The sequence below is a fragment of the Homo sapiens genome, chromosome 3, assembly GCF_000001405.40.
Source record: "Homo sapiens chromosome 3, GRCh38.p14 Primary Assembly".
In the NCBI taxonomy this organism is placed as follows: Eukaryota; Metazoa; Chordata; class Mammalia; order Primates; family Hominidae; genus Homo; species Homo sapiens.
In genome coordinates this window covers 93,885,260-93,899,376 of record NC_000003.12, presented here as the reverse complement: position 1 = coordinate 93,899,376, position 14,117 = coordinate 93,885,260, and the positions used below count along the sequence as shown (strand labels likewise).

Here is a 14,117-nt window from a genome sequence, read left to right as displayed (position 1 = left end):
TATTCAATAATAGCATTTATGAGCTTGTGGAGTTTTAAAGGTCATAGGGCATATCCAATGAAAATGTCAATGATCTTATATAACTCTGAGATAGATGTTTGCTTCAACATAATATTATAAATTTCCAAGAATGATTTTCTCAAAATATGGAGTAGGGACAGGGACCATATAGAAGATTTCATAATATGGGAGATTACATCACAGTGAGGTTTTTTAAAAAAAAAAAAACAGATATTTCCCTAAATTCACTGCCAACATTAATTATCGCATTATGAGTGTTCCAATGTTCTTGATATTGTCATTTAATTCCTGATTGTATCAACCTTCAGTTAAAGGGGTCTTTTCTTCCCTTCCCTTCCCTAACTTTCCTTTCCTTTACTTCCCCATCATGCTCTCCCTTCCTCTTTCCCTTCTCATTTCTTTTTTCTTTTTTTCAAAGCAATGAATTGTGAGGTAATCTCAATGAAATTCAAATGATCAGAAATGACAGTTAAGTTGAGATTCTCAATCTTTTTTTTCTTCAAATTCAAAATGAGAAATTTGGTAGAATTGTTATACTTTACTTAATCACTGAAAGTTATAAATTAATTTTTGTTTCAAATATGTAAATAAAAACTATACTTGTAACTCGTTTAAATTTCCATGTTCAGTATTATGTTTAAATGTAGTTTGATGTCATAGTATTTCTTTCCCTAAGGTTCGATTATCATTGATTATATCATACTACAATCATAATATTCCTCTGCCTATAAGATTGAACATTTAGGGGATATTAAAGTTTGTGTGCGTGTGTTTTTTTTACCTCAGATATAGATGAATGCTCTGAGAACATGTGTGCTCAGCTTTGTGTCAATTACCCTGGAGGTTACACTTGCTATTGTGATGGGAAGAAAGGATTCAAACTTGCCCAAGATCAGAAGAGTTGTGAGGTAAACATTTTACAATGCTTAACTTCTCACCTGTTTTCTAAAATGAGAGATCCTAGATACTTATTTTCACATAGCTAAGTCAGGAAAATACAGACGTTCTGCAATAATTGCTGTAGCTTTAAGCAGGTTATGAGTCATGATTATTTACTAATTATGGTCATGTAAGTCATAAACATTGGGGATAATTAGTGGCTGGGTTTAAAAAAAAGAGGGTAGAGTCACAGTTTAGAGAGTACTTATCTGTAGTCTGTACATTTATAAAATACAACTTGTATGTTTACTTAAGAAATCAAGAAAAGCTGAGTTTAATAGCCCTCATTGTGAAAAAAAATCTCTCATAGAAACTTCAGTGAAAACATTTTCCAGTGTCTACTTTTCTGGATTCCACTCTGACTAGTTTGATCATGCCTTAGGCGTTATAGGGTTTATAAAGTGCTCATAAAATTTCAGAGGGTACAAGTGCAGTTTTAATGTACCCTTTTAACCATTTCTAGGATTTAGTGGGGTTTAAGTATATCATAATTCAGAGAGGTTGATTTCTTAATCTGTGTCTCTCAAACTTGCTTTTAATTACTTAGATTTAATGCATAATTGACCCAGGAATTGAATATTGGGGGTAGGTGCTCATTTTTACTTCATTGAAATAAATGTCACCATCTGAGCTCTTTTTTTCCTGCATCTTTTTTTGACAAGTGAAGGTAAAATTATATATTATTATGAGGCAGACCATAAAAAATGCCTAAATAATGATTTAACTAAGTATACATACATACCTCTATAGCTGTTGCCAAAACAAAGCTGTATATGTCCAGAAAAATGTCACATTCAATAATATGCAACCTACTTGGTAATAAGCTAGTTGGCATTTGTTGTAATTTTGGTACGTTACTACTTAATTGAAATGCCATGCTGTGTGAACATCTATTTTGTAATTTAGTCCTTTATTATTTCTGTATTTGGTGTAGTTACATATCACCGTCTGCCTTGAAATAGATTTATTAAAGTTTTAAGGGGAAATAAAATGTTATTTCTGGGCCTATATTTAATATAGTGCTATGTACGTAATTCTCCTCAAAATATCCTCATATGTGTTCAATAATTTGTATGTTAAAAGCTTTTCATTTTAATGTTTGTTTTCACTCGTAGAAAAAAAATACTTGATACCATATGTGATGACTTTAAATAATGTTCTTGTAAATTCCTTGGAGACTATGAGATCTGAATTTATATTTATTTCCTTCATGTTTTCCAGTATTCCCTTTACTATCTAGATAGCACATTCTTGCTCAGAAAACTTTTGCTTAATAAATGAATGAGTGAATGAATGAGGTGCTGTTTATTGGTACATTAATTCTTACACCTATTTCTGACTTCAAATAAAAATAATTTTCAGACATAATTCATGGGAGATAATATACCTGACTGTTAATTAAAGAAATATATATTGGTTCTTGAAGAAAGAGTTTGTGTTTAGGACGAAAATTTGCAAAGGAAGTATTAAAGACAAAGATCGAAAGCCATGCACATTGAACGAGGCTTTAAAACACATGTATTCTTGGAGGTTATACTGATAGATAGACTATACAAGGAAATGGAAGATATGTATTTATTATTACCAAAAATATTCTTAATTATTTTAGTGTATTACAGATGATACATTAGTAACCAAACAAAAATGCATGACCTCACACAAACATTAAGCAATAACCTGTGCATTTTGATTTTCTTGTTGTTTATTTGGTTTCTTTTATTCCAGGTTGTTTCAGTGTGCCTTCCCTTGAACCTTGACACAAAGTATGAATTACTTTACTTGGCGGAGCAGTTTGCAGGGGTTGTTTTATATTTAAAATTTCGTTTGCCAGAAATCAGCAGGTGAGGAACCAATACCAATGATAATTTCTAGAGGTTAAGCAGATAAGGGCAGAAGAAAAGTGGCCGAAAAGGTTTGAAGTGTGTGAAATTGTATTACCTATCAGATAATGTAGTCATATTACCAATCAGATGACTTGGGGAAACCTAAAGTTAATTTACTCCTTCACACATGTAATTTTCATCCTAAAACCTTTTTGAGTCATTCTAGGCTGACTTTCCCCAATGAACATTTTACATTATTCCATATTATTCCTTTTGTAGAAAATGCATATTTACTAAGAAGCTGGGAAAGTAGATTTAATGTACTTGTGAAATTTCCATTATTCTTTACACATGTTATGAAAACCAGGTAATAAAAAATACTCAGTATTGCTTTTAGAATATCATTATATTCAAAATTATTAAGGAAAAAATTTAAACTTGCTTAAGTGGCATTTTAAAGACATATATTACATAATTTTAGTTGGCTGTCTAAATACTTTATCCATTATTATCGTACTTAGATTGAGTTCAGAAATGAAGTAAATGCTTATGTTTTTTAGTCATGATTCCACTTATTTTTATAGCAATGTTTATGATCCAATTTTTATTTTATTATATTTATTTATTTTTGAGACAGAGTCTTGCTTTGTTCCCCAGGCTGGAGTGCAGTGGCGCAATCTCGGCTCACTGCAACCTTCGCCTCCCAGGTCAAGCAATTCTCCTGCTTCAGCCTTCTGAGTAGCTAGGACTACAGGTGTGAGCTGCCACACCCAGCTAATTTTTGTATTTTTAGTAGAGACAGAGTTTTACCACGTTGCCCAGGGTTGTCTCAAACTCCTGACCTCAGGTGATCACCTCAGGTGATCTGCCATAATTGTACTTCAGTTATCAGATTTTCTCAGAAGCATACATTGCTGGAAGTAGAAGAAAGAAATTGGATTTTTTTTGGAATAATGAGAAGGCAAAATACTTGAGACAGATTATACAGTTCAAATTTTAAAATATTTTAATTAAATAAGCATGTATGTTTAGAACTTGATGTTAGATACATGAATGATTATTCATTAAATAATTCAACTAAATTCATAGACGTTATTAAAAACATTGAAAATTATTCTAAGATCAATAACTTACATAAATACTTAAGTAACAGTGCTCCTTCCACACTTTATTTCTGCCAATATGTGGTTTTTTCCTTTAACATCACAGAGCAACTAATATCTTCTAATGATAGAGATTGGAGAAAACTCTTCCCTGCTATGAGAATAATAATGAGAGAAAAATATTAGTTCTAGTAAATAACACTTTTAGGAATACAATTGATCCTCCAAATCCTTGAGTTCCTCATCTGTGGATTTAACCAACCTCGGGTAGATAATATTCAGAAAAAAACACAATGACAATACAATACAAAATAATACAAATGAGACACAATACAGTATGACAACTATTTACATACATTTGCATTGTATTGAGTATTATACATAATGTAGAGACGACTTAAAGTACGTGAGAGGATGTGCATAGGTTATATGCAAATACTATGCCATTCTATATAAGGGACTTGAGCATCTGTGGATATTGATACCATCCAGAGGTCCTGGAGCCAATCTCCAGGAGTTTGTTCATTTCTCACTGACGATTCATAGTAGTTTGATCTCTAACATGGGATCAGAATTGGACAAATTATTTTTTCCAGAATTTATTATTTATTTATTTTAAACTTTTCATTGAAATATAAAGTATGTACCGATATGTACACATTAGATTAAATGTATAGCTTGATGAATTTTTATAAACTGCCCCTTGTGTGATCAACACAAAGAATAGCTAGTGCTTTTATTTATTTTTGCAAATTTCTTGACGTCTGTTGCTCATGATCAAATACTTTCCCTCCGTAAATGTCAACAAATTCATTCTATTTTCCTGTTTACCATGCTTGTGAAAAAGAATGAATTGTTCCCCATTGTAATGAATCAATATGCTGCTGATATATTCCAGAAACAAAATATGCAGAACATGACCCTTTGAAACTATGATTTCAGCCTGATTTTACAAAGAAAAGGAAATTATCTCCATAATAGAATCAACTGCTGGAAGATCCTGAGCATACACAGATTTGGATTTTGGCAAGATAATATTGCTTCACATCAGCAAAATGCTCAGATAATTATGAAAGAGCATAGAAGTCCTTATTCCAAGCAAAATTGTTCTTTTTTTCATAATCTGAGTTCAGTAAATTCCTACTACATTGTTATCCATCCAACATACTTTACTCCACATTTTACCTCTTTTTAAATATTTCTTTGGAATTCTAAAGATGAAAACATTCATTTTGTCACCTTTTCTTTGTTCCATTTGAGGGAGATACGTGCCCCATTGCAAATGGTGCCTCTATTACTATTACTATTTTACTATATTGCGGTAAGAGTGTGGGATTCTGTCCTGCCTAATATAGCAATTATCTGAAGTCCAGACTCTTTAACTTAAATTGCCTTTATTTTAAGTTAGGTGACTAATAGTTATACACCTATTGTTCCTTTTCCCTGTTTGTCTTTCGTCAATCATGTGGATTTGCTAGTCCCTTGGAAACTTCAATGCTGATTCTCATTGAAGTGTTTTAAGGATACTGAATCAACACATGTTATTTTAAGTCCTGCATCCTAAGACTTTTCTCCCCTGTAATAGCTACATATATGTCTAGAGTCTTAATAGCAACAGATGTTGCCAGCACTCAGATACCCCCCAAACACATGGGTAGACTATGTCTTTTAAGTTTTCCTTCTGTGTATTCTACAACAGTGACTTATGCAACTGGAGTTTTAGGAAAGCTAATAGATATATTTTAAGTTTTTAAATTTTACCTTTCTTACCACACATGAAGGCTTAATGATGTCTGCAGTCATCCATGTGCCATCTTGTAGATCTCCACGAGTGATTCCTGACATGTGAAATTATAGGGAAAATATGCCTTTTGATGAATAAACCAACGATGAAATTGTAACACATTTTATGATCACTTATGGATACAGCAAAAACAAAAACAAACAAAAAAGAACAACAACAAAAAAAACTACCACTTCTTAATGTCAGATTATATAGTGTATAAAAGGCTCCAGGAGAGATATAGTATGCCTGATACTTATACCTGTGTATTAATTTCAGCATTTGGAAGGTGCTATCAAAATATATGTCAAAGAAAGATGACAAATTACCAAAGCATCTGTTCCCTGGGGAAAAGATTCCAAGAATAAGCAAGAAAATATAATAACTTAATTTTAAACGTACATGGAACCAGAGATAATACATGAGCAGTCTAATTCTGCCCTTCTCTTTTATTAATTCCAGAAAAAGAAATAAATAATTGACTCTTTGTCTGTGTTACTGTTTGTCAGTACAAGAAAAAAAGAATAATGCATTGAGCTTTCTGTATTTCTTACTCTTAAGGATCTCTCTTTGTCCATTGTTTAGATTTTCAGCAGAATTTGATTTCCGGACATATGATTCAGAAGGCGTGATACTGTACGCAGAATCTATCGATCACTCAGCGTGGCTCCTGATTGCACTTCGTGGTGGAAAGATTGAAGTTCAGCTTAAGAATGAACATACATCCAAAATCACAACTGGAGGTGATGTTATTAATAATGGTCTATGGAATATGGTACGTTTGCAGATTTCATCAATATCTTCCCACTTTGATGCAGTCTGTATAAAATCATAATTTATTTTTATAGTGATACCAAACCAAAATGGATTTGGAGTTATCTGATGCTATATGAGGTATATTCTACATACTGTAAATCCCTGAAGCATCCTGAGAAATAATATTCTCACTTAATATATTAGAATCATTGTTTTTAGTTATTTGCTTGAACTACTCTGTCTTTAACTTTTTACCTTTTTTAGTTGCTGTTTGGTGAACAGTGGTGTTAGGGACTATTAGGAGGCCTAACATTTTTTTTTTTTTTTGAGACAGAGTTTTGCTCTTGTTGCCCAGGCTGGAGTGCAGTGGCGTGATCTCAGCTCACTGCAACCTCCACCTCCCAGGTTCAAGTGATTCTCCTGTTTTGGCCTCTCGAGTAGCTGGGATTACAGGCATGCGCCACCATGCCCGGCTAATTTTGTGTTTTTAGTAGAGACGGGGTTTCTCCGTGTTGGTCCAGCTGGTCTCGAACTCCAGACCTCAGGTGATCCACTTGCCTTGGCCTCCCAAAGTCCTGGGATTACAGATGTGAGCCACCGCGGCTAGCATATTTTTTTTTTTTGAGACAGTCTCACTCTGTCTGCCCAGGCTGGAGTGCCGTGGCATGGTCTTGCCTCACTGCAACCTCCACCTACTAGGTTCAAGAGATTCTTGTGCCTCACCCTCCTGAGTAGCTGGGATTACAGGTGTGCAACAGCATACCTGGCTAATTTTTGTAATTTTAGTAGAGACAGGTTTTCACCATGTTGGCAAGGCTGGTCTCAAACTCCTGGGCTCAAGCTATTCACCCACTTCGGCCTCCCAAAGTGCTGGGATTACAAGAGTGAGCAACCACACCCGGCTGGCATAACAATTTATGCAAAGACAACACTGATCAAGGAAAACTCCTCAATTGCCAACAATATTTTTTAAAGTAAGGAGAAATAAACATAGTAACAAGTCTAAAAAGGTAATTCAAATTCAAATATAAGCAGATAGATAAGTAATCCTTAAAAAAAAATAGACACAGGGTCTTGCTATGTTGCCCAGGCTGGTCTTGAACTCAAGGAATCCTCCTCCCACTTTGGCTTCCCAAAGTGCTGGGATTACAGGCATGAGCCATTGTACCGGACCTAGTTGTCAGTTTTTGTGCAAATGATATACATTAGCAGGTACCAGTGTGCTTAGAAATCAGCATTTTAGGCTGGGCGCAGTGGCTCATGCCTGTAATCCCAGCTCTTTAGGAGGCCAAGGCAGGTGGATCACCTGAGATCAGGAGTTCGAGAGCAGCCTGACCAACATGGCGAAACCCCATCTCTATTAAAAATACAAAAATTAGTCAGGCTTGGTGGCGCACGCCTGCAATCCCAGCAGGAGAATCATTTAAACCCAGGAGGCGGAGGTTGCAGTGAGCCGAGATCACGCCACTGCACTCCAGCCTGGGTGACAAAGCAAGACTGTCTCAAAAATAAAAAGAAAGAAAGAAAGAAAAGAAATTAGCATTTTAATTTAATCCTACATATAGCCTTTAATCTAATGATCAAGAATAGCACTTTAATCAACTGGATTAAAGTGGGACTTTTCTGAAGGGATTACTGCTAGTTGATAGTGGGGAGAAGTCTTTTCTGAAGTATAGAGTCATTGCTGCCATCAGCAGAGGATAGCTGAGAGAAGATTGGCTTCACCTTAGAATGTGGTGCACAAAAGAGACATCTTTTATGCCTAGAGGAGCTGGCAAGAAGTTTGTGCTGATCTCAATTTATTTATTTATGTTATTTATTTATTTATCATCACTATTATTACTATTATTTTGAGACGGAGTCTTGCTCTGTCACCCAGGCTGGAGTGCAGTGATCTCTGCTCACTGCAACTTCTACCTCCTGGGTTCAGGTGATTCTCTTGTCTCAGCCTCTCGAGTAGCTGGGACTATCAGTGCCTGACACCATGCCCAGGTAGTTTTTGTATTTTTAGTAGAGACAGGTTTCACCATGTTGGCCAGGCTGGTCCTGAACTTCAGACCTCAGGTGATCAATTCTCCTCAGCCTCCCAAAGTGCAGGGATTACAGGTGTGAGCCACTGCACCCAGACAAGAAGTTTGTATTGAGAAGTCATGTGAGGTCATCACTAAATTATTTTGGTCCTTCATTTATGCAGACATGCACTCATTTATTCAGTAAGCTTTTAGTGAGTGCTTTTGATGCTAAGTTCCTGAGTTCAAGGCATTAGAACTATAGCATATCGGGGAAACCTGCCCCCAATATTTCATTGTAGGGTCTTTCTATTTTCCATAAGTGTCGGCTGGCTGAGAAATAAAGAGAAAGAGTACAAAGAGAGAAATTTTACAGCTGGGCCTCCAGGGGTGACATCACATATCGATAGGACTGTGATGCCCACCTGAGCCACAAAACCAGCAAGTTTTTATTAAGGATTTCAAAAGGGGAGAGGGTGTAAGAACAGGGAGTAGGTCACAAAGATCACATGCTTCAAAGTGCAAAAAGGAGACCAAAGATCACATGCTTCTGAGGAAACAGGACAAGGGCAAAATCAGAAACTACTGATAAAGAGTCCAACAAAGACCACAAGCCAAAGGGCAAAAGCAGAATTATTGATAAGGGTCTATGTTCAGCGGTGCACGTATTGTCTTGATAAACATCTTAAACAACAGAAAACAGGTTTTGAGAGCAGAGAACTGGTCTGACCTCAAATTTACCAGGGTGGGGTTTTTTCCCCACCCTAATAAGCCTGAGGGTACTGCAGGAGACCCGGGCGTATTTCAGTCCTTATCCCAACTGCATAAGACAGACACTGCCAGAGCGGCCATTTATAGACCTCCTCCCAGGAATGCATTCCTTCCCCAGGGTATTAATTATTAATATTCTTTGCTAGGAAAAGAATTTAGCAATATCTTCCCTACTTGCAGGTCCGTTTGTAGGCTCTCTGCAAGAAGAAAAATATGGCTCTATTTTGCCCGACCCTGCACGCAGTCAGACCTTATGGTTGTCTTCCCTTGTTCCCTAAAATCGCTGTTATTCTGTTCTTTTTCAAGGTGCACTGATTTCATATTGTTAAACACACATGTTTTACAATCAATTTGTACAGTTAACACAGTTGTGATCCTGAGGTGATGTAGATCCTCAGCTTATGAAGATAACAGGATTAAGAGATTAAAGTAAGACAGGTGTAAGAAATTATGAGTATTATTTGAAAACTAATAAATGTCCATGAAATCTTCACAATTTATGTTCCTCTGCTGTGGCTCCATCCAGTCCCTCCATTCGGGGTCCCTGACTTCCCGCAACAATAGCAAGAGATTTTCCTTGCTCTAGAGCTTAGTACCTCACAGATAAGTAGCTGATGCTTCTTTGGGAAATAATATAATGTAACATGAAATACATTACATTAGAGGTACAAACAAAGCACACTTGGGCAAACGTGGTGAATTTATAAATGATTACATCTTATCTTTGATTATGAGTCTAATATTAATAGGAATTTTAATTGTAAATGTATCATAATTCATTCAGCAAAATATTTATTGGCACTTCTATGTGCTAATCCTTATTCTAGGTGGTAAAGATACAACAGCAAATAAAAAAAAGTCAGTGCTCTTATGGAGCTTGCGTTCTAATGGTGAGACGCAAACAACAAATGCATGAAAAAATAAATATGCCAGATAGTTATTCATGTTATAAGGAAAAAGAAAAGCCAGACAAAGACATAGAGAGTAATGGTGGTTAGTATGCATATAGAATCAGGAAAGGCATCTCTGATGAGATTAGATCTGAGCTGAGACTTGAGAGCACATGTCATGAGAAATAAATGAGGGAATATAAAAAGATTCTGTACCATGTAAACAGCAAGTACAGAATTTCTTGGAATAGGATGTGTTTGGTATTTGAGGAATAACACAGAGTAGTGTAGCAGCAGGGGAGAGTAGTTAGAAAATGAGGTTAGAAACGTGGTCTAGAATAAGATCATCTAGGGCCTTGGAGGCCATGATGAGGATGTGGATTTTATGCTAAATTGAAAGGCCCTGGATGGTTTTGAGAAGGGACATGATCTAGTTTGCATTTTAAAAGATAATCCCAATCAGAAGCTAATGGCTTTGTGGAAACCAGAAGTGGAGAATGAGTGTATAACAGGATATGGGGATATGGAGTTAGGAGACTGTTGGAATAACCCAGCGGAGAGAAGATGACAGTTTGACTGGTGTGCTGATGGTAAGAGTGGTAAGAAGTGGTCAGATTCTGGATATATTTTTGAAGTTAAGCCTTCAATTAAAATTTTTGAATACTCAGCATAAAGAGGGGTTTTAAGGCCATGAAACTGTTTGTGTTGACCAGTGGTTCCAAACACTATCTCATCCAATGTCTGAAAATATATAATGCTCCTTTACTATTCTATAATGAAATGTATCAGTAATATAAACTACCTTCACATATACCCAATCAAAACCAAAATAATTCTGTCATTATTATATTAATATGGATAAATAAAAGGAAAGTAATTTATAAGAAAATAATATGTATTTCAATATATACGTAGTCAACTATAACTATAACACTTGTCAAAGCTTGCTTCTATGCATAAAGTAAAAGCTACAAATGAAGACTAATGCTGGGGTGTTAAATTAGCAACTCAAGTACCATTAAGGGCATACATGGTGTTGCCATTGGTAATATTAATTTTCCAAAGTGGTGGGAAGTTCCTGGTAAAGATATGAACAAAACAAATATCAATCTATCCTTAGTTGTCAAGATTATTACATTCTTGAAAAATGTAATGAATGCTAAAATAGTGCAGCAAATATTTTGTGTCTATGTATGCACAAACTCAGATGATTGTAAGCATGAATATTCCCTACATGAATACCTAGCAGTGATGTTCAAAAGATTTTAAGAATACTTGATATTTTATTATTAGTTCTGCATTACTTATTATTATTAATTCTGCATGACTAGCCTATGTACATAATGCAGATTGTCTATCATCTTGCAGTGCCAGCATGGCCCCTACTCATTGTGACAAATAAAAGTGTTCCTCACCTCCAAATTTTCCAAATGCCCTGGAGTGGAGTCATAGTGTCTCACTTAAAATACTTGCATGGCTACAGGAAAAAGGTCTGGGGCCTGAGCTGTGGGGAGGGGAGGATCCAGCAAAGGAGACTGAGAAGTAGTGGTTAGAGTGTAGAAAGAGAAGCAATCAGGGTCAAGTGTTGTAGGCTAAGTTAAGAAAGTCTGTAAAGGAGAGAATAGTTGTTCACATGCTGCTAATTGGCTATATTAAAGAAGGAGTGTTGACCAACTTTAAATTTGTGTAACTAAATTTATTTTATGTTGGAGGATAGTTTTTCCCTTCCTATCATGGTGTTTTAATATGCTTATTGTTTGGCTTATATTATTGGTTAGTGAGTGAAGAGTTTGCTCTTTGAGTGCTATAGTTTTACTTGAAGTGATTGCAGCAGTGGTTCTTCAAATTGCCTTTGTAGAAGGAATTTTTATTGTTGTTTACCCTTACTTGAAACCTTTTTTAAAAACCCAAACAACTCTCAAAATTGGAAAACTCCAATTTAATTTTATGTATTTTTTTCTTATTGCCTCAATCACTTTTGAATTTTAAAGAAAAAATAATTTGTGTGCAATTAACAGAATAGTGAACATATTGATTTTTCTTACTTTATATTAAGAACTTATGGGCCGGGCGCGGTGGCTCACGCCTGTAATCCCAGCACTTTGGGAGGCCAAGGCGGGTGGATCATGAGGTCAGGAGATCGAGACCATCCTGGCTAACAAGGTGAAACCCCGTCTCTACTAAAAATACAAAAAATTAGCCGGGCGCAGTGGCGGGCGCCTGTAGTCCCAGCTACTCGGGAGGCTGAGGCAGGAGAATGGCGTGAACCCGGGAAGCGGAGCTTGCAGTGAGCCGAGATTGCGCCACTGCAGTCCGCAGTCTGGCCTGGGCGACAGAGCGAGACTCCGTCTCAAAAAAAAAAAAAAAAAAAGAACTTATTTACACTATTGATTCCATGTGCGTATTATCAGACAATTGCAAAATAAGGCCACTTAAATTTTTCCTAAGATAGAATGGCTCACTTAATTGTTAATTTTCTAGCAGCCTGGAATTGAAAGATATATAACTGGATGTTTAAGCTTAACAGAATAGTATTTTTTTTAACTTTAAAATATGGTATGCTTTTAATTTTTGATCGTGCTGCCACCCTAAATGCCTTTTTATCACATTTATCATAATTTGACATTCCAAATGAGTTGTAACAAATTAATAATTACATTAAAATGATTACTTTACAGAAGTATTTTATTGGAATAATAACATAAGTTTTAGATCCCAGTATTTCAAATGACATGTAGTAATACTTGGTTATTTGGTAATTTTTCTTTTTAATTGTAGGTGTCTGTGGAAGAATTAGAACATAGTATTAGCATTAAAATAGCTAAAGAAGCTGTGATGGATATAAATAAACCTGGACCCCTTTTTAAGCCGGAAAATGGATTGCTGGAAACCAAAGTATACTTTGCAGGATTCCCTCGGAAAGTGGAAAGTGAACTCATTAAACCGGTAATGATCCAAGCTTGTATCATTCATCATGGATGAGTTCCTTTTGTCTGTAATAGATTTGAATATGTGTGTTTCTGAGAATCAATAGAAGTTGTTTTGTTAAGCATACTAAGTGTGACAACTTGAAATGATCATGGAAAAATAACATTAGTAACCCTTGAAATTATATTAATGAAATAAAAAAATGACGTAGTGGTTTTGTGCCCATTTAAATCCCCAGCATAAATCATGAAGTGGATTTCTAAAATTCTCAAGTTAACACTTGAGAATGTTAACACTAATGTTAACATTAGTAATGTAATGTTCAGTGTTAACATCATGATAATCCATACTCAGTTGTTAAACATATAAATTCATATATTTAAGTCCAAAATTACACCATTTTGTAAAAGCCAGTCAAAGGACTTTCTCAAGTCTATTTTTAGGACTTAAATGCAAGAGCTAAAGAATAGCACATAAGGTGAAATTTATTGTTAAATATTTACTATCTTACATCCGTCTTTCATTCTCTGGAAATTCGTAGTTACTTTAACTTTTAAAAGATTTCCATTATATGATATTAAGCTTGAATTAATTAACCCATGTTGACATGAGTATACCTGTTGTTTGAAACTGAGAAATTAATACACTTTAAAAGTAAAATAAATTATTCAAAAAGTATCAATCATTTATGAAACGGTTATTACATGTCTTGAGCCTGGCAGGATACTTGATGGAGGCTAAAGAATGCAAACACTTTTGTGTCTGAAGAGACTTAGAGTCTGATTGGCAAGACAAACCCATATTATAAATGCCACTAAAGAAAAACAAGGCCAGGCGTGGTGGTTCACACCTGTAATCCCAGCAATTTGGGAGGCCGAGGCGGGTGGATCACCTGAGGTCAGGAGTTCAAGACCAGCCTGGCCAATGTAGCAAAACCCCATCTCTACTAAAAGTACAAAAATTAGCCAGGCGTGGTGGTGGGCACCTGTAATCCCAGCTACTCAGGAGGCTGAGGCAGGAGAATCGCTTGAACCAGGGAGGCAGAGGTTGCAGTGAGCCAAGATCCTGCCACTGCACTCCAGCAAGACTCCATC

The 14,117-nt window shown here is 35.7% G+C and overlaps 1 protein-coding gene across 2 annotated transcripts in view; it reads left to right on the top strand.

Annotated features, from left to right (window-relative positions):
- Window positions 1-14,117, top strand: part of PROS1 (protein S) — a 100,846-nt gene that overhangs the window by 74,520 nt on the left and 12,209 nt on the right. For both annotated transcript variants that reach the window (NM_000313.4, NM_001314077.2), the window contains 4 exons: window positions 808-929; window positions 2,686-2,801; window positions 6,255-6,444; window positions 12,874-13,041. In NM_000313.4, the coding sequence (NP_000304.2) occupies window positions 808-929; window positions 2,686-2,801; window positions 6,255-6,444; window positions 12,874-13,041 (596 nt within the window). The remainder of the gene's footprint in view (window positions 1-807; window positions 930-2,685; window positions 2,802-6,254; window positions 6,445-12,873; window positions 13,042-14,117) is intronic.